We start from the raw sequence: 22,461 nt of genomic DNA, 5'->3' as shown, positions 1-22,461 counted from the left end.
TTAACAACTAACTAAATTTTGGGGAGTTACTTATTTGACTCAAGGATTTTCCCTCTGTAAAATGGAAGATCATAATATCTACATTTCAAGGTTATTATAAAGATTTAGTATGATAATGGGCATAAAGTACCCAACACCATGCCTTGTATACAATAAGTGTTCAATAAATGGCAAGTGCCTTTTCTTTTAAGTCAGGACTTTTTTTAGTCACTGAATGAAAGAGATGGAGTTTGAATGAGCTTGAACAAAAGGAGGATAATATTGACACATGTAATTGAGAATTTCAAGACACTTTCAATCCAGGGCTGAAGCAATGTCAATAGAGTTCTGCCTCTTTTCTTCCTTTCATCTTGATTTTTCTCATGTGTTGGCTTCAATGTAATGGCAAGATGGCTACTGGAAACTTAGTCTACATTCTTGGAGAATGCTGTCTGAAAGGATTCAGGTATTAAACCTTAGAAGGGACACAGATTGGTCCTGCTTGAGTTATGTGCTTACCCATGAACTAATCACTGTGTCCCAGAAAATACAGCTCAACATTGGCCCTGCCTTGTGGTTATGTGGGACGCTGTGACAAAGCAGAGGAGAAGTTCTTCCCAAGAAATTAATGCTTTCAGACAAAATCAAACAAAACAACAAAAAAAATCCATGCCTGACATACCTTTCCTACTCAATTCCTGACTTTCAGCATTTCTGTCCAGTATATACTCCACAATATAATCACAGTTACCTTTATAAAACAGAAAGTATATTGTGTGACTCTCAAAACCTTAAAAACCTATACATTGCTCAGAGAACACCTGGCCAATTTCTTCATAGAGCTCAAATATGCACATCTATCTGACCCCAACCAACCCTCCATCCTTTCCTGCTGTGTTTAACCAATACCATCCGTTCCTTTAATAAACACTTTTCCCCTCTTCTTGTTTACTCAGACTCTTGTCCCCGCTTAGAGTGGCCTTTTTCTCCATGTCAGCTTAACAGTGGCCAGTCTGTCTTGTAGGGTGCAATGGAATTCATTCTTTTTGTTTATCCAGAACCCCTCTTTTGTTAAGAACCTGTTTTATTCTCACTGCAAAAATGTGTTTTTGGAAGGCTTGTCATCACAGCAGCGACTCAATTCTGGTGACATGACCCACACCAAGCAAGTCATCAGTTTTGCAGCCGCAATGATTGGTCCAAGGATAAGTAAGTAACCAAATGTGCCAAGTGGAGTCCTTCCTATATTGAAGTTAGGCGAGAGTTACTCTTTCCTTCTGAGTCATTAATTTGGAATTATGTTAGCCCAAAGCTGCCAGTAAACATGTTCTGCCAGCAAACAGAAGGAGAAAGCTCACATGCAGTAGGAGAAAATGAGGCCAACATGCTTCGTGACTAAGGAGAATCAGAGAGATAGGCTAAGGAGTCAGAGACTAAGAGAGTCTGGGTGTTCCAGGCCATGTTCCAACAGTGCCAACCCATAATCTCTGTTTTGTTTTTTTCTCTTAAACTACTTTGAATTGAGCCTCTGTCACTTGAAAGAAATTGTCTTCCAGGTCCTGCTTAAATATTTCTTTCACTAGGTTGCCTTTCTGGACTGTGTCGTTATAGACCTCTTTTATTACACTGATTACTGTCTGCTTTTTAGAAGGTATACATAAGTATTTAATCATTCTACTAGGTTCATTCATTCAGTAATGCTGGCCAAATGTTACTGTATTTCCGACTGTGCTAGGCTGAAAGCTTGACTCCTACCCTACTTAGCATAAAGCCTGGTAAAGAGTCGAGTTTTGAAAAATATTTATTGAGTTGAATTGTGAAAGGTCATTGAAAGACCTTTGTGTTTTCACATTGTGCCCAATGACATATATTTCTCTCTCCATTCTAAACTCTGCACTGATAACAGAATCACAAATGATTAAAATATTTCACTGAAAATGTAAATTTTGCAAAAAAACTATGTGAACTAGAGAACATGAGCTACATTCAAAGCGGAAAAAGGTTAGGTTTTCAAATAATAAACTCAAGCCATTTCTGTGTCTTACCTCTAAATAGCAGGTACAAATTGGTTTATTTGCATTTTCTTGGTTAATTACACATTTTGGAATGATCTTTCCATGTGGAAGTCATTGATAACAGGATCTAATTCCAGAGACCAAAGTGCCATTAGTTTCATTGAATTGAAGCATTTTCAGAGGTTGGAGTCAAAGCCTGGGAATTAGAAATCATGGGTCTTAATTACATCTTGGTCACAGATTGGTTGTTTTCTTGGAAGCACACAATCTCAAAAAATTCAAGTGCCTGTAAAATGAAGATGAGAATCTGTGCTGCCTTCAACTTCAGGCCTTTATAGACTTGAATAAAATATTACCTATAAACACCTTTGAAATCCTAGGATGGTATGCATTAATTACTTTCCTGAGCCTTTAAATCCAGGGGCTATTTCAGCAATTTGAACCAATAAGTAAATTGGACTGTGCTCTTACAGACCTTTTTTTATTATGCTGATTGCTCTCTGATCTGATTAAGATCTCTTGATACAGTGATACACAATCCAGTTGTTTGCAAAGAAGTCAAAGGAATAGGGAAGAGAAGGAAGCTGACCTAAATTGGGTACCTACATTACACTGGTTGGGTGTTGGGCTAGGCTCTTTACCTACCTTTAATCCTTAGCAAATTTTTATGGGATAGAGATAACATTTTACCCATAATGAAACTAAACCTTAGTTACCTCAAGTAATTTTCTTTAGGATCATGCAAGGAATAACTGGATGATGGTCTGTGTGCTGGTCTTTTGTAGAATTAATTATTATGTAAAAAGGGCTATGCTTTTGGTTCTGGCAGACTCAGCTGTTTACTTACAACGTTTAATAAAAACTAGGCACCCATTTTGGGTGTCTTATCAAAAGCAGTGCTATATGTTTTATTGTTAATTATTGCCAACTATAAAAGGAACTTTAGGCTTTAAGGGTGTTTTTGCTTTATCAGAGAGGCTCATAAACTTAGAAATTTAGCCCTTGAGTTTGTCTTTAGTTGGGACTAGGAATTCTATGGGAAGTCATTCTCAAGCTACAGATTTGGCATCATATTCACTTTGGAATCTTGTTGTAAAACCCAACCCTGAATCCATTTCATGTAGACTCTGAAGAGTGTGTGTGTGTGTGCGTGTGTGTGCATGTGTTTACAATCTCCTCTCTCAGATAGGGAATTATGACCCAAAATAATATATTTCTCTGGGAAAAGACTAAAGCCAGTTCTGTGGAGGCAGATAAGTGTAGGAAACCCAAGTCCTCTTTAATGTAACCTGGTTCCCTAAACTCACTTTACAGTGGCAGATGTTTCTAAATCAGCTTCAGAATTGACCTGTGATTCATAAAACCCGTTTGGCAGAGTCATCACCTGGACCCAACATGTCCTCATTTCTCATTCTGGAGCAAGTCAGAGCCAAAATAGTTAACAGAGGTGAAGAGGCAGGACTCTGGGCGAATATGTGAAGCAGCTAAAGTGAGAATCCTCTGGCAACAAGCCAAAAACCTTACCATGAAGGAGGCTGCACCCCATTCAACCAGCAGATAAGACAGGATAATACCTTCATGTTTCACTTGGCCAGTTCATAATGTACCACTCGAAAGGGAGCAAGTCTGTCAAGCTTGTGACTGCATTATCTGGTTTCCTTCACACTGCTCCTGCCATGCCTCCATTGTGTGGGAAGTGCATTACTTGTTGGAGCAGTGAGGCTCAACCAACGTGGAGAGCAGGCCTGGGAGGATTATGGTGAAGGGCAGTGAGGCTCAGCTAATGTGGAGCATGGGGAGAGGTAGAGAGATGTCTGACAACACAAGCCCTGCTTTGCCTCACACAACCAGACCCAGTTGAAAAGCCGGTTCAGATTTTGGTGGACAACTCTATTGGCAAAAGACAGCTAGAGTTTTTCCAGAGCTGTTTCTTTTGAGCTCAGAGGAGACAGTGTTAGGAGGTGAATACTACCCTCTTAATTTCGTTTATTGAAAAATAAGGTGTGTGTGTGTGCATTCATCATTCCTTATGTTGGCATATAAACATGGAAGTCTTTTTTGGAAGTAGCCATAGAATGCTATGGGATAAAGGTATTTCATTGATATTCTTCTTGCACATAAGACACATAATTTAACCTGATAATCCTTTCCCATGGAAACTGGTAGGCATCAAACAATATAGCATTAGTTTCTGATGATAATTAGGGTGTGTGAGGGTCCACATCTTGATTTGAGAGTTTATCTACATGTAAAAGCAAATAGTCTATAGCATAGTTAAAACAATCAGTGTATATTGACTATGAATTTGAAATAGTTTCATAAAAATTATTTTTTTAATTGAAATAGATAATGCTAATCACATTGATCATGAAAACTGGCCTTAGAAAACCACAGGGATCATTTAAAACATGCAGTTTAACAAATTTAAATAGATCCTCTCATAGATGATAGCCTGCTTTTCCTCATCTCTCTGCCAAAGAAAAATTTAAATTCTTCGGTTGAGAATATCACATAAAAAGTGCATAGTAGCTTTTACTAGAGAATCTCACACGCACAATTTTTTTAAGAGGCAAGGTCTCTCTCTGGAGTGCAATGGCACAATCATATTTCACTGTGGCCTCAAACTTCTGGACTCAAGGGATCCTCCCACCTCAGCCTCCCAAGAAGCTGGGTTGTGTGCCACTATGACAAGCTCAATTTCTTATTTTTGTTTATTTATTTTTTTTTGTAGAGACAGGGTCTAGCCATGTTGCTCAGGCTGGTCTTGAACTCCTGGCCTCAAACTATCCTCCCACCTCGGCCTCCCAAAGTGCTGGGATTACAGATGTGAGCTACTATGCTTCATATGCACTTTTAAAAATGAACATTGAACAATAACAAAGGCTATTAATAAAAATAGCTACCATCTATCTACTGAGTAACTACTAAGTGCCCTACATAGTAGTGTTTTACATATGTTATTTCAGTTAATTATCTCAAAACCCCTATATACTGATGAGGAAAATAAAGTCTATAGACTTCAAGGTCATATGGCTAAACTAAGTAGTGGATTTAGGAATGGAACCAAAGAGAACTGATGCCTGGAACTTGGCACTTAACCATTACTCGATCTTAAAGTCACTAATACCATCAACAGAATGCAGAGATGTAGCAAAAGGAGTTAAATGGCTTATCATATTGATAGATCTGGGGCAAGAGTTTCCAAATTCTCATTAGGAGTTACTCAGATCACATAAAATCGGCATTAAAACAAGCCAGGTAATCCTTCTTGTTTGCCAGCATGATATCAACAAAGGATTGACTAGGGAGATTAGATTCCAGTTAAAGTTAAAGCATGGCTGTTCCTATAAATATACAATGTAAGCACCACCCCACTGTCTAAAAGACCCCAGACATACTCCATTACAACCTCCTTAGATTACTTTTAAATTAAGATTTGCTATTTAGAAATATACTTTAATTATTTGAAAAAAGAAAAAATATATATTCAATAAAAAAACCACCTACCACCTCATCACCCAAAGACTACTGTTTACTTTTTGTTGTTCTTCTAGTTTGTTTGTATATTCTTCTAGTTTATTTCTGTGCCTATATATGCCTACTTTTAAAATAAAAACTAGATATGTCATAACATTATTTCATTTACTCTCTTTTGTTATCAATATATCATATGTGTGATGTTAATATAGTACTTGCTTCCTCTACAACAAAGTATTTATTTGTTATAGAGTGCCATATGAATTTACAACCATTTCTTTCCACTTTTTTATTATAGGAACAGAGCTATAATGATAATGTCTTGTGTATATACATAATTACTTCTCAAGACTTGATTTCTAAAATTAAAACTACTGGATAGTGCAGTGATTAAGGACACTTAGATTCTGTAGCTACAACTCAGCTTCACACCTGAAGAATTGTGAGATTTTGGGAAAATCACTTAGCTTCTAATTGCCTCAGTTTGGTTTTCTACAAAATGAAGATATTAGTACCTACCTCATGCTGTGGTCATTATTTTGTTTTTTAATATATGAAAAACACTTAGAGCAGTGACTGGCACACTGCAAATACAACATAGATATCTGTAACATAAAAAAAGGACTGGAGCAAAGGATATGCATCTTTTAAAAGACTTTGATAACATATTAACAAATTACCTTCCAGAAAGATTCTACCAATCTTTATTCCTTACAGCAGCGTGTAAGTGGAGTACTCATTTTCCTGCCCCCATGGAACAGTGGTTAAGAGTATGAGAGATCAGATCACCTTATCTCAAAGTCTGGCTCAACCACCCAGTATTTGTGTTATCTTGGGAAAGCTACTTGACCATGCTAAGCTTCAGTTTTCTTTTTTTGTAAAATGGTAATGACAATAAATATCTACCTCATAGAATTATTGTGAAGCCAAAATGAGACAATATAAAGTGCTTTAAAAAGTGCATAGTGTAGGCCAGGCTAGGTGGCTCACGCCTGTAATCCCAGCACTTTGGAGGCCAAGGCAGGTGGATCACCTGAGGTCAAGAGTTCGAGACCAGCCTGGCCAACATGGCGAAACCCCGTCTCTACTAAAAGTACAAAAATTAGTCGGGTGTGGTGGGGGGTGCCTGTAATCCCAGCTACTTGAGAGGCTGAGGCAGGAGAATCTCTTGAACCTGGGGGATGGAGGTTGCAGTGAGCAGAGATTACACCACTGCACTCCAGCCTGGGCAAAAGAGTGAAACTCTGTCTAAAAAAAAAAATAAAAATAAAAAAATAAAAAATAAAAATGCCTAGTATAGACTAAGGGATCAATAAATGCTGTTAGTCTATGTTTGCTGCCTCTTCATTTCAAAGATGAGGAAAAGTAGGACCAGAAAATATGGCATCTATGGCAGAAGCACTAAGGTAATAGGTCAAAATGACGCAAGAAATCAAGCGAGAAAAAAGAAATATTTGGTTCTGGATGATAAATATTTTCTGCTTGGCCGGCCAATATGGATATCTTTTTAAAAATGTCAGGATGCCTTCCTGTGTCTAGTGCTCAGCATATATTAATCAGAGACATGTACAGGGGAACTGAAAGGATGGTTACTAAACTTGTCACTGTGAGTTCAGAAAGGAGTGAATTTCATCTTGAAAGAAAGAATCAAGAAAATATGATTTTACAAGGAAAAAGAATAGTCTATGTATCAGAGTCCTGTGAATAAAATCAGTTTTCCAAGTACCAGATGTGGAACGAGTGATTGTGCTCAAACCAGTCAGCACAAACCAGTCAAAGTTGTATTAGCCATACTGTGCAAAACAGCAACTAAAACCATCTGACAATGAACATAATTCCACAGATAAAAACTTTACCAATGATACTTGAGTAGACAGACTGAAACTAGATGGTGTTCTGTCCTTTTTGGGTGCCACTGGCCAGCTTTCTATGAAAGTTAAGAGGCAAGACTGGATTCCCTAATTAGAGATGGTCTTGCAGAATATAAGACTCATCAGAGGAGACCTACAATACCAATGGTTTGAAAGATAAAGGATCTAGCATTGTTCACTTTGAGGAGTTTAAGACAGATAATTTTGTTATTTTTCTCAAGTTTGGCCAAGATTCTTAGAAAGGAAAGTGTACAATGGTTTATTTCTACTGAGAATGGAAGTGTAGGAAGCAAATTTCAAGCTGCAGCATGAAAGATTTAAGTTAGAATGATTGAAAAAAATTTATTTGCAATATGCCCTGAAAAACACTGCAAATGATTAACAAGGAAAGCTATGCAAGATCTTCAGAAGCATATAAAATAGGACTGTTTTTGTGTTGGTTTCACATTATTTTTGTGGGTCTTAACTAAAGGCAGGAGAATAGGCTAGGTAGATGCCCAAGTTTCCTTTCTATGATTTGATGATAAAAAAACTTGGTCCTATAAAGATTGCTCTGGTTTCTTTTCTATTGCAGCTACCCAAGGAATAGCTGTTGCCTTGACAACAAGAGACATTCTTAGGTTCCTCATATGCTAATAGGAAAATGGCCAATTTTCTTGTTCATAAAAGAAAACTGTTGGTTAATGTGTGCATCTCTCTCTCTTTCTTTCTCTTCCTCTTTCTCTGTCTCTCCCCTACCATTACTAGCTACCCTTCAATGAACCTTAGTGAGAGGCAGGGTTAAAAGAAAATAAGAAAGGGTAGAATAGTTTGTATCTTCAGAAATCCTCATTGAAACTTAAGACACTCACTCATAAAGGAGTTTGGAGTAAGATAATGATATGGGAATAATAAGAAATTGGCATTGAGTGTGGAGAGAAGAAAAAAATTTGATAGCATAAAATTCTCAGCCTATGGTAGGACATGGGCAGACACACTGACCGGATTCCAGGATGAAGGAGTCAACGTAACTTCACAAATGTGTCAACATGGGATAGTATTTGTAAGACAGTTTTTCAAATAACTGCTTCCAACTATCTAGGTACATGAATACAGGCAGTTCATCCGCTTTTGAATATACTGACTAGATTGTACTCAGAATGAGCTTTACATAGGATTTATGTGAATAAAACCACAGAATATAGCAGAAGAACAGCAATTACTTCCACATACAATTCACTAAAGTAACAAGCAACAATTAATTCCCCCAGGGCAAGAGCCATGGACTAATCCCTGCTTTCTCCTTTGCTACCTGAAATGTAGCCAAATGCAAGCTAAGAAACAGATTGACAGCTGATAAAAAGTGCTTTGAGTAAACTTACCCATATATTATGTGCAGAGCTATAGCTCATAGAATAAAAGCCAGCCACCTCTCTGCAGTGTCTCTTAAATTAAAGCCTTAGCTATAAGAAAGCCAAGTGTCTCAGCCCAGTGGAGGGGTGCTTTTTCCATATAGCAGCATGGAAGTTCAAGCTGAAGCCTCATACCAGCCTTGTTTTTGTGCTGTGCTCACATGGATGGTGTGTACAGTATCATGACAGACACACATTTCCTTATATCTTTACCCCGCATTTTTCTATACAGTGGTTACACGGTGGGTATGTTTTTTGTTTGCTGTTTTCACTACTCCTTGTTACACCAAGGATCTTTTTTTTTTGGCATATCGTTGTTAGAAAGTATTTTTCTTTTAATTATAAGAGTAGTTCATGCTCATTGTAAAGAACATGAAAAAAGTTCAAGAAAGAGCAAGGAAGGAAATGAAAGATAGTGTAATTTTGAAGAGCAACACTGAAAGCAAAGAAAGTCATTGCCAATATTTCTTTTACTAACAGCTAGTGCAGCATAAGACACGGGGCATAGAATTCCTGCCCCTTTTTTCTTTATTTCCTGTGCTGAGGCCTGGTCTTCCCGTGGACCCCGGATAATTAGCTGATGTTTACAAACATACAGGCACTCGTAGGTGTTAATATATACTCTGATGCCTTAAGGAGTGTGGTTGTTAGGAATGTTGGAGAATATATACGCATTTGAAAAGTTAGGCAAAAACATATTTACACTTTATAAGGTGATCTTAAAGAGGTTTTGAAAACTTTGCTACTTGTGGCACAATATTGCTGGTAGATTTGGGGGTTAGTTTTTTCACCCCAAATCCCCTGGTCCCTGATAGTTCTCACACAATGAGAAAAGCATCCTCTTGGTTGGCCCCCCTTTAAAATAGTCACAAGTCTTACTTTCTGCCTCTTTTCTCTTCCCCTATTTCATATTCTCCTTTCCTCTCATCTTGCCCATTTAAAATTATTCAATTTATGCTTATTGTCTACAAGAAAATATTTTTGTGATCTGGTATCTTTCAACTCGTCCTGCCTTATGTCATGTCATTCTCCCAGGCAAATGTTACTCCACAAAAGTCACCCTATGACCAGCAGTGTTAAACTACTGGTATTTCTCCACTAATTACAAGTAGTTCCTTGTACTCTCCCAGCCAAACTCAGGAGTTTCTACATTATTGTCTTTTTATTGTTATTCCCACCACGTGGAATGCACTTTCACCCAACTTTTTATGGGAACCTTTGTATCCCTATCTTAAAAGCTTCAGGTAAGAGGCTTTTCTTCCTGGGTGGCTCCTCTGCCCCTGCTGCCCTCCCACCTGGAGACATAGAAATGCTTGCCTTGATGAGTCCTGACAGCCTTGCTGTACTGTGTGCACTTGGTCTGCTCTTGTTAATTTAACAAAAGTTCTGGAAGGCAACATTCGAGTCTTCTTTGTTCACAGATACATGTCCCTATCACTCTCTACTGAGAGCATGTCACATATTTGGTGCTCAATGACTGTTAATACAATGAACGCATGAATGTCTACTGTGTACCTAGCGCTAGGGAGCCAGTGCTAAATAAGGCGGATGCTCTCTGACTTATGTTGCTTTTAGAATAATAGAAGACCAGGAGAAATAAAAAGTATAACAAACTCAAGGAGGCAGGACTGTGCCATGATAGCAAAAATATGGTGTTAGGGGGGCACATATAGGTTAGAGAAGGTTGGGATTAGCTGGGCAAATGTGAAAAGAGTACCCAGGCAGAGGGAACAGACATGTGAAAGACTGAAGTGAGAGAGAACTTGAGGGAAAAAAATTTAGTCGGGCTAGAAATTGTAGTGTTAAGGTGAAGGTGAGTGAAAGGTAAGGCTGGGGAAGAAGGAGGGGCCAGTTCAGGAAGGCCTTATATGCCATGTTAGAGGGGGTCATGGAGAGCCATGGAGGAGTGTTCATGGGGAAGGGGTGATGTACTCAGAGTTGAGGTTTGGAAAATCACTTTGGCAGAGGTATGGAGATGATATTAGAGAAATCAATTATGGAGGTCAGGAGTCCAGATAGCAGGCAGCTTCTGTGGTCAGTTCTCCACTTGATAGTAAACTCAAGGAAAGGATAATCATTTTTTTCATTGTTGTAAATTAAGGGCTTAGATCCTGTCTGAACGAATGCAATGTTTCTTTTATAAATGAAGAACTTTACTTATGACAATTATCATATCTCAAAAAAGTAAGAATTTAGAAGCTACTTCCCTTAGGAAGTTCTATCCCTTTACGGCTCATCTAGTCGTTCGGTCAATGTTATCACCTCTAGTTAGGCTAGTTATACAAAGGAGGTGTTAGCAGCACCCTACTCTGACCTCATCTACCAAGAGATATTTAAGTTGATTTATATTATCCACCTTGCCTATATTATAATTGATCATTTTTATTATATATATTTTTGGTCTTTTTCATTAAGTTGTCATTCTCTCGATAAAGATCATGTGCTTTTCTATTTTGTGTAACGTACCTAGGAGTAACCGATTCTATCCTGTTTCCTTGAGTTTGTTCAAAGATAGGTAAAAGAGTTAATGGAGATATGAATGAAGGAAAGCATAAATGATAAGTCATCTGAAAGGTTACTTCTGATTTTTCTATATTTGTATTAGAATTTAACCCTTAAAGGGGTATAGTTCATCAACTAAAGCCATTTTATTAAGCCTTGTGTCAGCAGATTATGAATACCTGTATTATCTATAGCACTGATTAGTGACCATAGCTCTCATCATCACTAAATCAAACTCAAAAGAGGCAAAAAATGGATAACTTCTGATTCAGATTATATGTCAAGTTTAGTTGTGTTTAGAGTAAATAGGAAACATAAATTAATTGTTTGTAGGTTGCAGGGTGATATGGGTTATTTGTGCTGACACTTAAAATATCATCCCTGCTTTTCTAAAGCTTTCTGTTTTTTATGATCCATAAAGAAACATTAATTTATGTGACTAGATTAATCACTGATTCAACAAAAACTTCATTTATAAATTTTTATATATCTAAGTTTATAACTTGAGTAACAAGCTGATTTATCCATTACGATCCTGAATTTGAACTTTCATTATTAATTATTATCATTATTTTGATTGCTTTAAAACAATAGCAACTAGCAGTGTTTAGAAGAATAAGAGGGATTATGATTTTGCATCTAGATGTTTTTCATGGATTGACAGAGAGTTCTGTGTGGGGTCAAAGATTTGTCATTTTAAAGTAAAAACGAACTGAGGGGAAAAATGTTAATAAATTGTTAGGTTGGTATCTGGTCCAAAATTATTTCTAGGGGGTTTTCTTCTTAAGTACATCTTTAAAGCTGCACCCAAAGATTTGGCTCAGATGTCAGGAATAATGATCTTCATTATAATAGTAGACGTTGATGAGAGTTCTGGGTCAAAAGAAAAAAGAAAAAAAGAAAGAAAGGAAAAAAAAAGAGAGAGAGAAAAAAGGCACTGTGATACTTTACATATACAGACATGTAGCACCATCTACTGGATCAGAGTAAATGAATAAAATCAGTAAAGTGTGTTTTTTTCACTAGTAAAAGTGTGGACCTCTGAATATCAAAGCTTCTTAAAGTATTGGTTTAGTGATTTCCTTTGATTTTTAGGACTATTTTACTTATATGTAAGAATACTTTGATATAAAGAGTCTTTTCTTCATTGTCTTGGGTTGTAGGAAATAGTCACAGAAAATTGTTAGCTTTTGTTTCAAGTCACTCATCTACAGAAATTAATTACACACACACACACACACACACACACACACCCCTGTACCCAGGTTAATTATATAATAATATACATACATATCTTTAAAAATATTAAGTAAATTACATAATTTTTTTTTACAAGGCAGTGGTTATCATGGGCAAAAACAAATTGTGAATGTGTATTTCCCAGAAAAGGATATTGAAAATCTGTAATTAGAGAGGTCTTTACTGTTCCTCTGCATTAGAAAATTTGTTTTAATGTAGTTATGTCTCTCTGTTATTAGGAGAAATAAATCCATAAGAATGATCCATTCATTAATTCATTAATTCAGTGAGTATTAATCAAGAGATTACTATGTGCCAGGAACAATGATGAAAACACTGAAAAAAGTAACAATGATTTCAGAAATATTGCATAATATTTGACTGTGAGGTTAATGTCCCTTTATAAAGACTTACATCCATCTCCTTAATTAACAGTGCTCAACAGAACAGCCAACAATCTGATACAGCCTTGTGAACTGTACACATTTAAAAATTTTTATACATACTGATCAAGATAATCATCACTAAAAAAGCATTTTGTGTAGATAAGGAAATTATGAAATAGGACAATTACAGAACTTCTCTGATATTTTCCCTATGTGACTTATTTCATTATCCAAGTCATTATCTATTTCATTATCTATTGTGGGAAAATGTATTTCCTTAGGAGGTAGTGAGTACCTAATCAGTGGAAGTGTAAAAGCACTGCATGTTGCTGATGTACATTTTGTAGTCGGGGCAATCTTGGAGGTTTCTTCTAATTCTGGGGTTATAGAAATGCTCTGAATCTGGTCATGTGCAAGTATATTAAGAATTAATTACATAAAAGAAGATCTGAACAAATGGAGACATTTAGATATTTCTGGGTAGGAAGACAATATGATAAAAGTTTCAGTTCTTAAATTATTCTGTATATTCAAGAAACTTTCAGTGAAAATGCCTAGGGCTCTTTAAAAAAAACTTGACGACTCAATTCCAAAGTTCATTTGGAGGTGAAAGTGTGTGATACTAGACAGAATAGTTGTGATGGTGGTGGTAGTATGTTTTGCCCTACCATACTAAAAAGCTATGCTACTCAAAACAGTGTGGCACTTTTGTAAAGATAAATAAATCAACGAAACACCAGACATCCAGAAGCATATCTTTCCATGTGTGAGAATTTATTATAAAAAGAATGCATTTCAAATCAAAAGAGAGAGATAAACTATTTAATGAATGGTCTATTGCTATTTGTTTTGAAAAAAGAGTTATGAATCTGCTTCCTCTCACACATGAACATACATTTCATGTGCCTTACAAATTTTGCTGTAGAATATGTAATTATATAAGTATGAGAAGAAATTATTGGAGACTTTTAAAATAATCTGGGAAAGGCGTTCCTCAGTGTAGCCAAAACATGAAAATCACCAAAGAAAGGACTGACAGATATAACTACATACAAATCTAAAACTCTTGTCATTGTCTTGTCATATCTATTCTTTCTATGGATTTTACTATTATGTTCCAGGCATTACTCTAGATTCTGAATATAGGGTGAACAAAATGCATATGCTTCTTGCCACTAAGCTTAAGCAAATTTTTTTTTAAATGCATATGGTTCCTGTTGTCATTCATGTTGTAGTCTAGTTGAAAGGATAGAAAATAAGCAAATAGAAACATAATTACTAATTGTGGTAAGTTGTTTGAAGGTAATTACTAAATGTGAAAAGTTTGCCATGAGAGAAAATAACTAGGAAAAACTGTATTGAATTAAATGGGCAGGGAAGTGTCTCTAAATTTATAGATAAACTGAAGAATATGGGGCCCTGGAGAATAATAAGGACCTAGCCATTAGGGAAGGAAAATGTTCTGGGAAGAGAGACCAGTGTATCTGAAGACACTCCTTTTTTTTGTTTGTTTGTTTTGAGACAGGGTCTCACTCTGTTGCCCAGGCTGGAGTGCAGTGGTGTAATCTCAACTCAGTGCAACCTCTGCCTCCCGGGCTCAAGCAATCCTCCCACTTCAACCTCCTGAGTAGCTGGAACTACAGGCACATGCCACCACGCCTGGCTAATTGTTTCATTTTTAGTAGAGACAGGGTTTTGCCATGTTGCCCAGGGTGGTCTTGAACTTCTGGCTTCAAGTGATCTGCCCACTCTGGCCTTCCAAAGTGTTGGGATTACACACATGAATCACCATGCCCGGTCAGTTTTTTGAGGCTCTGGAGAAACAATTTTGGAAAGTCAGTATGGCTGAAATGTAGTTAGTGAAGGAAAAGTTGGCAAGAGATGGGATGAGAGAAATAGGCAGAGGTCAGATCACACAGGACTTTGTAGACCAGTTAAGGAGTTTGGATTTAATTCTAACTAAACTAGGAGTCCATTGAAGAGTTTTAACTTGGGAAAAATTTGATTTAACAAAAGAAACCCTTAAAATGGCACAATTACTTTGGAAAAAGCTCTGGTGTGTTTTTATAAAACTAATCATGCATCTATCTTTTTTAGAACAATTTTATTTAAGAAACAGGGTCCTGGTATGTTGCCCAGCTGGTCTCGAACTCCTGAGCTGAAGCAATCCTCCTGCATCAGCCTCCTGAGTAGCTAGGATTATAGGTGTGTGCCACCATGCTGGCCAAACACCTATCTTACGGTCAGCAATTGCACTTCTTGGAATTTATTCAAGAGAAATAAAAACATATGTCCATGAAAACACTGGTACTGGAAGTACAGGTTAGTAATTCTGAAAGTACTTTAAATGTATACTGGGGCTGGAAAAAATAAGTAAATGAATAATCGATGGTAGGAGCAAGATTTCTCATGACTAGCAGGAAAGTTATAAATAGGTAAAAAGGGAAGGCTAGTACAAGCTTTATGGTACTGGGTGAGAGTCAGAGATAGCAATATGTGCTAGTGTTTAGCTTATGCATACAGAAGCAAAAACAATGATAGATATGTATGAATTCATGGGTTAATAATGTACATACGTATATTATTTAGCTCTGACTCTGAGAGGACCTGAAAGCAATGACACCACCACAAAAACAAACATACCCAGACTCCAGATCTTGGTTTCTAAACACCATTCTCCCATAAAAGGAACCAGGCCTCCTTGGAGAAATGGCTGATTCTCAAGCTGGGTTAGGAAAAATACAAGATGAACCTGAAAAGTCATGCAGTACCAGAAAGTAATGAGGTGCTCAAAAACAAACCAAATGAAACAAAAACAAAATGATGAAGGCATGTCAAAGACACACAGGGGCCAATGGCCAAGGATGGAACAAATTGAGCCACAAAATGACTAACATTGTTTGGATTATAACCCCAAATATAAAATACGCATTTGTCCATAGTGACATAAAAAGATTGAGCAAATAAAGAAGAAATAGTGTTATTTACAAAAAATTTTAAATATTGTATGTAGATATTATTCTTTTAGGCGATAGAGTTTAATCTCCCTCCTTTGAGACCAGGCTGAACTTAGTGAATTGCTTCCAAAGAATTGAGTATGGATGGGAAAAAATAGTAACTTTACAGTGAAGAAACCTGGCAAACATTACCTTAACAGAATGACTGAAGATAAAATCACAAGTGATGTCATGGAGACATAATATACCTCCGATATTATGTGATGAGAAGGACACTTAACCTCTGTGGTTTTCTTTCCAAAAACCCCTAACTCCAGCCTAAGCATGTGACAACCATCAGACAAAATCAAACTGAGGGATATTTTACACAATATTAGATGAGTCAGTGCTCCTGAATACTGTCAAGGTTATGAAAAACAAGAAAAAAATTGAGAACTTATCACAGACACAAGGGAGACTAATGAGATATAACAAGAAAATGCAATGTGATATGCTGGATTGGATTCTGGGACAGAAAATGAACATTAATGGAAGAACTAGAAGTCTGGGTTGGGTGCAGTGGCTCACGCCTGTAATCCCAGTACTTTGGGAGGCTGAGGCAGGCAGATCACGAGGTCAGGAGTTCGAGACCAGCCTGATCAACATGGTGAAACCTCATCTCTACTAAAAATACAAAAATTAGCCAGGTGTGGTGGCGGGCGCCTGTAATCCCAGCTACTCTGGATGCTGAGGCAGGAGAATCGCTTGAACCTGGGAGGTGGAGGTTGCAGTGAGCCGAGATCGTGCCACTTCACTCCAGCCTAGGCGACGAGTGAGACTCCATCTAAAACAAAACAAAACAAAAAAATCAAGTGTAGTGTATAGTAATGTAGCATGGTTGGCTTCTTCATTCTGATGAATGTACCATGACAATGTGAAATAATAACATTGGGGAAACTAAAACTTGGTGAGGGGTATCTGGAAACTCTCTTTACTATCTTTGTAAATTTTATGTAAATCCAAAACTATTCTAAAATAAAAAATGTGTTAAAAAGACTGGTACAAGGATGTTTATAATAGCTTTATTCATAATTATCCAAACCTGGAAACAACACAGTAATAAAAAGAAACAAACTATTGCTATGTACCACAATTATGGATAAATATCAAAAACATCATGCAGAGTGAAAAAAAGCATGTTATTTCTAAAAGTACAAACTGTCCTTGTATGAATCTGGGTCCAGTGAGGAGAAAGAAACCACATAGTAACTTAACAGGGAAAGTTTAATATAAAAATTCTTCATTATACAGAGGATAAGAGTCAACAATGGTTGACTGTTAAGATGTAAAGAGCTCTAAGGAATATAAAAATAGCAGCTATAAGGAGCAGCCAGTATCCCTAAAGCTGAAATACAGTACCCAAGGAAGAGACTCCTCCACCCCCACCACAGGGTTCAGTGAATGGCAGAGTTGTTTTGGTGCAGTGGAACTGGCTGAAAATCTATTCTTTATGATGCCAGGGAAATCTATTCATTGGGACATGTCTCACCAGAGGCACTCTGCTACAGAACTGCCCAAGTGAAGAGTTCAGAGTGGGGTGGGGCGCTAAGGAAAGCTTCTGGATGCTGCTGCCTGCTTCGCACTGCAGGAGCTGGGAACTGGAGAAGTCACAAGCACTGCAGGAGCCTAATGCTGGAGAAAATGCCTGTGATGCAGGGGCTGGACGCTGGAGAAGCTGTGTGCAACACAGGAGCCAGGGGCTGGAGAAGCTGTGTGTGCTACAGGAGCCTGCCAGGTGAGCTCATGGAAACCAGAAAGAAAAACAAAACAAAGCAAAAAAAAAAAAATCTATTTTCCTTCTGCAATGTCTCTCCTATGCCCTCTGTTGATAAAGCCTAATTTTATGCCAACAGCCAAAAGAGAACTCTTTAAAGAGCCCATACTGTTTTAACAGAACAGGAAAAATGGGTGAATTTGGAGCTGAGAGGCAATAAATTATTAACTGGTACAATATGGTACCTTTCTGTTTATTTGGAATTTTAAAAGAAAGAAAACTTACAATAGAAAAAAAAAACCTGGAAAAATAGTTGTCTCTGGGGATTTGGGGAGGTGAGAGGAGGGACTGACTGGAAAGAGGCATGAGGGAATGTTTTGTGGTAGTGGTAATATTCTATATCTTGAGAGTAGTTTAGGTTAACCAAGTCATGCACTTGTCAAAACGAAAGATTTGTGTTTTTCTTTGTATGTAAATTTCACTGTAGAGGAGAAATGTAAACAAAAGTAAACATAAGCATGGTATTTAAGAAGGAAGTGTATTGATTCTTAGAATTTATTTTGAAATACATGAAGAAATAATACGGATTGATGGATGAATAGAGAGATAAACATATGAAGAGGCAAATATTAATGGCAGGATCTAGGTACCAACTAGATCCAGAGGACTAAAACTATTTCAGCTTTTTTTATGTTGGAAACATTTTGGAATTTGATGTCAGAAAGAAAAGATTACCTTAATTGCTGAGGGGAGGATGGATTTTTAGGAGAACAAGAGCAGAGGTGGGCAGATTGATGGGGAGACAATTTTGGTAACGTAGTGACAGGTGATGAAAGCCTAAATTAGAGTAGTGGCAGTGGAGATGGAGAGCAGTAGGATCAGTACAGCTTTGGGGGCTGAAAGTGAGATGTAATAGTGATGTATTGAAGATGAGAGGTGAGGAAAAGGAAGGAATCAGTAATCACAGTCAGGATTTGATTTTATACAGTTCAGTAGATGGCGGTGTGCTGGCTGTGTAGAAAAGACAGGGAAACAGCTTTGAAATATGTGCAGTTGAAGTCAAGAATTCTATCTTAGACCTGTGAATCGGGTTTAAGATATCGATGAGACATCTTGACAGAATTTTCTAGTAAGCAGCTGGATGTATGTTTGGAGAACAGAAGAGAGATCTGGGCTAGAGAAATGTTAAGAATAAAATTAAGAAAATATCAGCTGTTTTGGACTGAGTTGGGCCCCTCCCCTGCCCAAATTCATAAGTTGAAGCCACTCCCAATTTGACTGTATTTGGAAACAGGGTCTTTACCGAGGGAACTAAGGTTAAACGAGGTCAGAAGTGCGGAACCCTAATCCAACAGGACTGGTGGTATCCTTATAAGAAGAGAAAGAGACACCAGCAATCCATGTGCACAGAGAAAAGACCATGTGAAGACACGGTGAGAAGGCAGCCATCTTGCAAGCCAAGGAGGGAGGCCTCATCAGAAACCATCCCTTGCTCTTGAATTGCTAGCCCCTAGAACTGTGAGAAAATAAATTTCTGTTAAGCCACCTAGTGTATGATATTATGGCAGTCCTAGCAAACTAATACACCTACCATAGCATTTAAAGACATGAAAATGGATATCATTACCTAGGAAGCAATTGTAAGAAGAGAAGAGTAGAGGGATCAGCTTTGGGTCTTGAGGAATACCATTGTTGAGTGGCCAAATGGGCCAAGATAAAGCAGCAAAGGAGATAAATAAAGTTAATGGGAAACTGACAGGAAAGAAAAACTCATAAAAGCCAAGAGAGGAAAATGTTTTAACAGGGAAAGAACAGGTGAGTTTAATGCTGCTGCTAGATTGGGTAAGTTGATGATGAAAGAGTCCGCTGAGTAGGAAGCATGCTGATGGCAACAAGGGTAGTTTCTGAGGTGTGTATGGCAAAATACACTAAAAACAAAGTTAAACAGAAAGCCTCCAAAAACAGACTGGGAGAAAAATACTTACACACACACACACACACACACACACACACACACACAGAGAGAGAGAGAGAGAGAGAGAGAGAGAGAATACTATCCATAACACAGAAAGCACTGCTATAATTCAATAAGATCACTGAGTAGGGAAAAACTGGGCAAAGAATATGATAAAGAAATTCTTAGAAGAAATGTGATGCTGAGTCTCCCTTATTAGGGAAATGTCCATTAACTATGAGATACTGTATTTTGTTCTCTATATTGTAAAATATTTAATATTTCATAATATCCAGGTATGCAAAGATACTCTCATATTTTTGGAGAATATGTAAAGCCTTTTTGAAGAATAATTTAGTGTTACCTATCAAAATAAAATTGCTTAAATCTGTTTTCCATTAATTTTACTTCTAAGAATTTTTCCTGTAGAGACATTTACATAGGTATGCAAGATTATATCATATTTCACCAAATCTAATTTCATTGATTAAAAGATGCATCTCGATTTCAGAGATATAAAAATGTGAAAAAAAGTATAACCAGAATTGATGAAATGCAGTATTATCAAGATGTGCATTGCAGCACTGTTTATAAAGTTATAATTGATAATACTGAATTTTAAGCTTCTGTAAAAAGACTAAGGTAGATCTAAATGTACTGACATGGAAACATGGCCACTATTGTTAAGTGAAAAGAATGGATTTGCAGAATAATATTTACTATATGATTATATTTATGTAGGACAAAATTGACATATGTAAATATTTATAGCTTCATTTAAAAATGCTGGTTAGGTAAACACTAAACAGTGGTACTCTCTTACAAGTAGGATTGGCATGGAGGTGAAATACATCTTTTTCTTTTACTTCATACATAGAAGTATTTTTTCTACATTATTTTTGCAGAACAAATAAACTTTATGTTTTAGCCTGCGCAACTTGATTTGGTGAATTTAAGGGAATAAGACAGTAAAAGGGTAACATCTTCTTTAGCATGTTGGAATTAAATTGAGCATTTCAACAACAAAGCTTATAAAACTATGGGTTTTGTTTCCAAAGCTAGATCTGGATGAATGCAAATAGAGTTATGGTCTAGAACTTGTAGAATTCGAGTGGGAACTAGGTGATACGAGATTCTGTAATGAGATACCATTTTAAGGCAGAATTGTAGAATTTGGAGAAAGCATGGGCATTTCATCTAGAAGTAAATATCATATAATTGTTATCCTCAAATTCAGGAAATGGAATCTTTGAGAAATGAGACATGGGATTCTCAGAGCTTCAGTTGCTAGACTTCTTATGCCCGTGCGGTATAAGGGCATGGAACTTACCTATGTAACTGTTTCTGTAGGACGTATTCCTAGAAGTAAAATTAATGGAAAGATGAAAAAGACTCCACAGTCATGCATTTGGCAGCTACAGCTGACACTGAGAGGGGTGCTTCAACTCATTGGCACAGGTCGAGGCAGCTCAGTATTCATATTAAAAACTGGGATGGTAAATTAGGTAATTTTAAGATACATGGGTGATAATACCAATTATTTTATTTTTACTTTTTGCTGTATTAAAAGGTAATTAAATGTGATTGGTTTCCTTAGCTCTTGTGAAGGTATTTTCGTAGGTGAATAGTTTTGTTCCAATTGATGTTTCTGTGAGGGCTGATTGCTGGAAGTCTTGTTCTGCCATTTTCCTCCCCACCTTTGACCCAACACCAATAATTTTAGAAAGCAGCATTGCCACAACATATCCCAAGTATAAATAACTATGTACCATCTTAACATAAGCTGAATACTAACATTTTCATTAGTTGGAATGACTAAACTATTATAAAATAAGTAATGATCATTTATAAAGGATTAAATGTCATTATATCTAAAATTCCACTATTACATGCAGGTCAAATTTCTTCTACAAGTTGAGCCTTTCTCCCCAGCCTTTAATCATTGTAGAAAGGGGGAATAAAATGCTTTGCTAATTCTAGTCTTTAAAGGCACTAAGTCCACAAGATTAAGTTTATGGAAAACAATGTAGGCACAAAGAGACAAAGCTCCTACAGGAGGATTTCAGAACTATAGTGACAAACAAATCGACTGTAAAAAGACATTTTTAGGACAGTCGAAATATGAATCTGAAATGGTTATTAGATGATATTGAAGAATAGTTGATTTTTATAGGTGTGATAATGATATTGTGCTTATGTTAGATAACATTAACCACTCTTCTACCAATACATGCTCATGTATTTAGGGCTGTAATGTCATGATGTCTATGATTATTTTTTCACTTGAGCAAAAGATACAGATGATGCTAACATGGCAAAATATGAATGCTAAATCAAGGTGATGCATATATAGCAGTTATTTATACTCTGCTTTCTATTCCCATATACATTTAAAATATTTATAATAAAAGTTTAACAATGTCTAGGTAAAATAAAATTCGAAAGAGCAAAAAAAATTACAGATGATTATTGGATACGTAAAATTAATTCATGCACAGCATCCCTTCTTTAATCACTTTGCCTCAAGGAGCCTCGGTTTAACTTACCGAGAAAATGAAAGGATTAGATTAGTTGATTGTTTTGTCCTTTCCAGTTCTGAGATACTATACAAGAGAGACTATAACTCAAATGCCTACCCGTGCCAAGCAGGTAATTCAAATTAGTGAACTGGTAAAGTGCTTTGTTGGTCTAAAGGGGGCGCCTCTCCAGCGGAACATTGCCTTTTGATAATGGGGATTGTGTCACCTACCCTTTTTCAAGCAGAGGAAATACAGACGTTTATGCGAAATTCCACACTTTAAATGTTAGCAAACAAAAATGCAAAGAAAAATGCAAGTATGGGAGTGGTGCCGGAGGGACCACCACACCGCGCCACAAGTGTGCGGCCTCCGCGCGGTCCGCGTCTGTGATCGACTGGGACATCCGCGATGGGGCCGG

The 22,461-nt window shown here is 37.0% G+C and overlaps 1 long non-coding RNA gene across 1 annotated transcript; it reads right to left on the bottom strand.

Moving 5' to 3' along the window:
- Positions 1–2,011: 2,011 nt before the first annotated feature.
- On the bottom strand, positions 2,012–22,383 carry CCDC39-AS1 (CCDC39 antisense RNA 1). The gene is made up of 2 exons (NR_046725.1): positions 22,274–22,383; positions 2,012–2,190 (listed from the first exon to the last, which is right to left on the bottom strand). It is a non-coding gene; the product is annotated as a CCDC39 antisense RNA 1 (long non-coding RNA).

The sequence above is a fragment of the Homo sapiens genome, chromosome 3, assembly GCF_000001405.40.
Source record: "Homo sapiens chromosome 3, GRCh38.p14 Primary Assembly".
NCBI classification, from domain to species: domain Eukaryota; kingdom Metazoa; phylum Chordata; class Mammalia; order Primates; family Hominidae; genus Homo; species Homo sapiens.
This window is presented reverse-complemented; position numbering and strand designations above follow the sequence as displayed.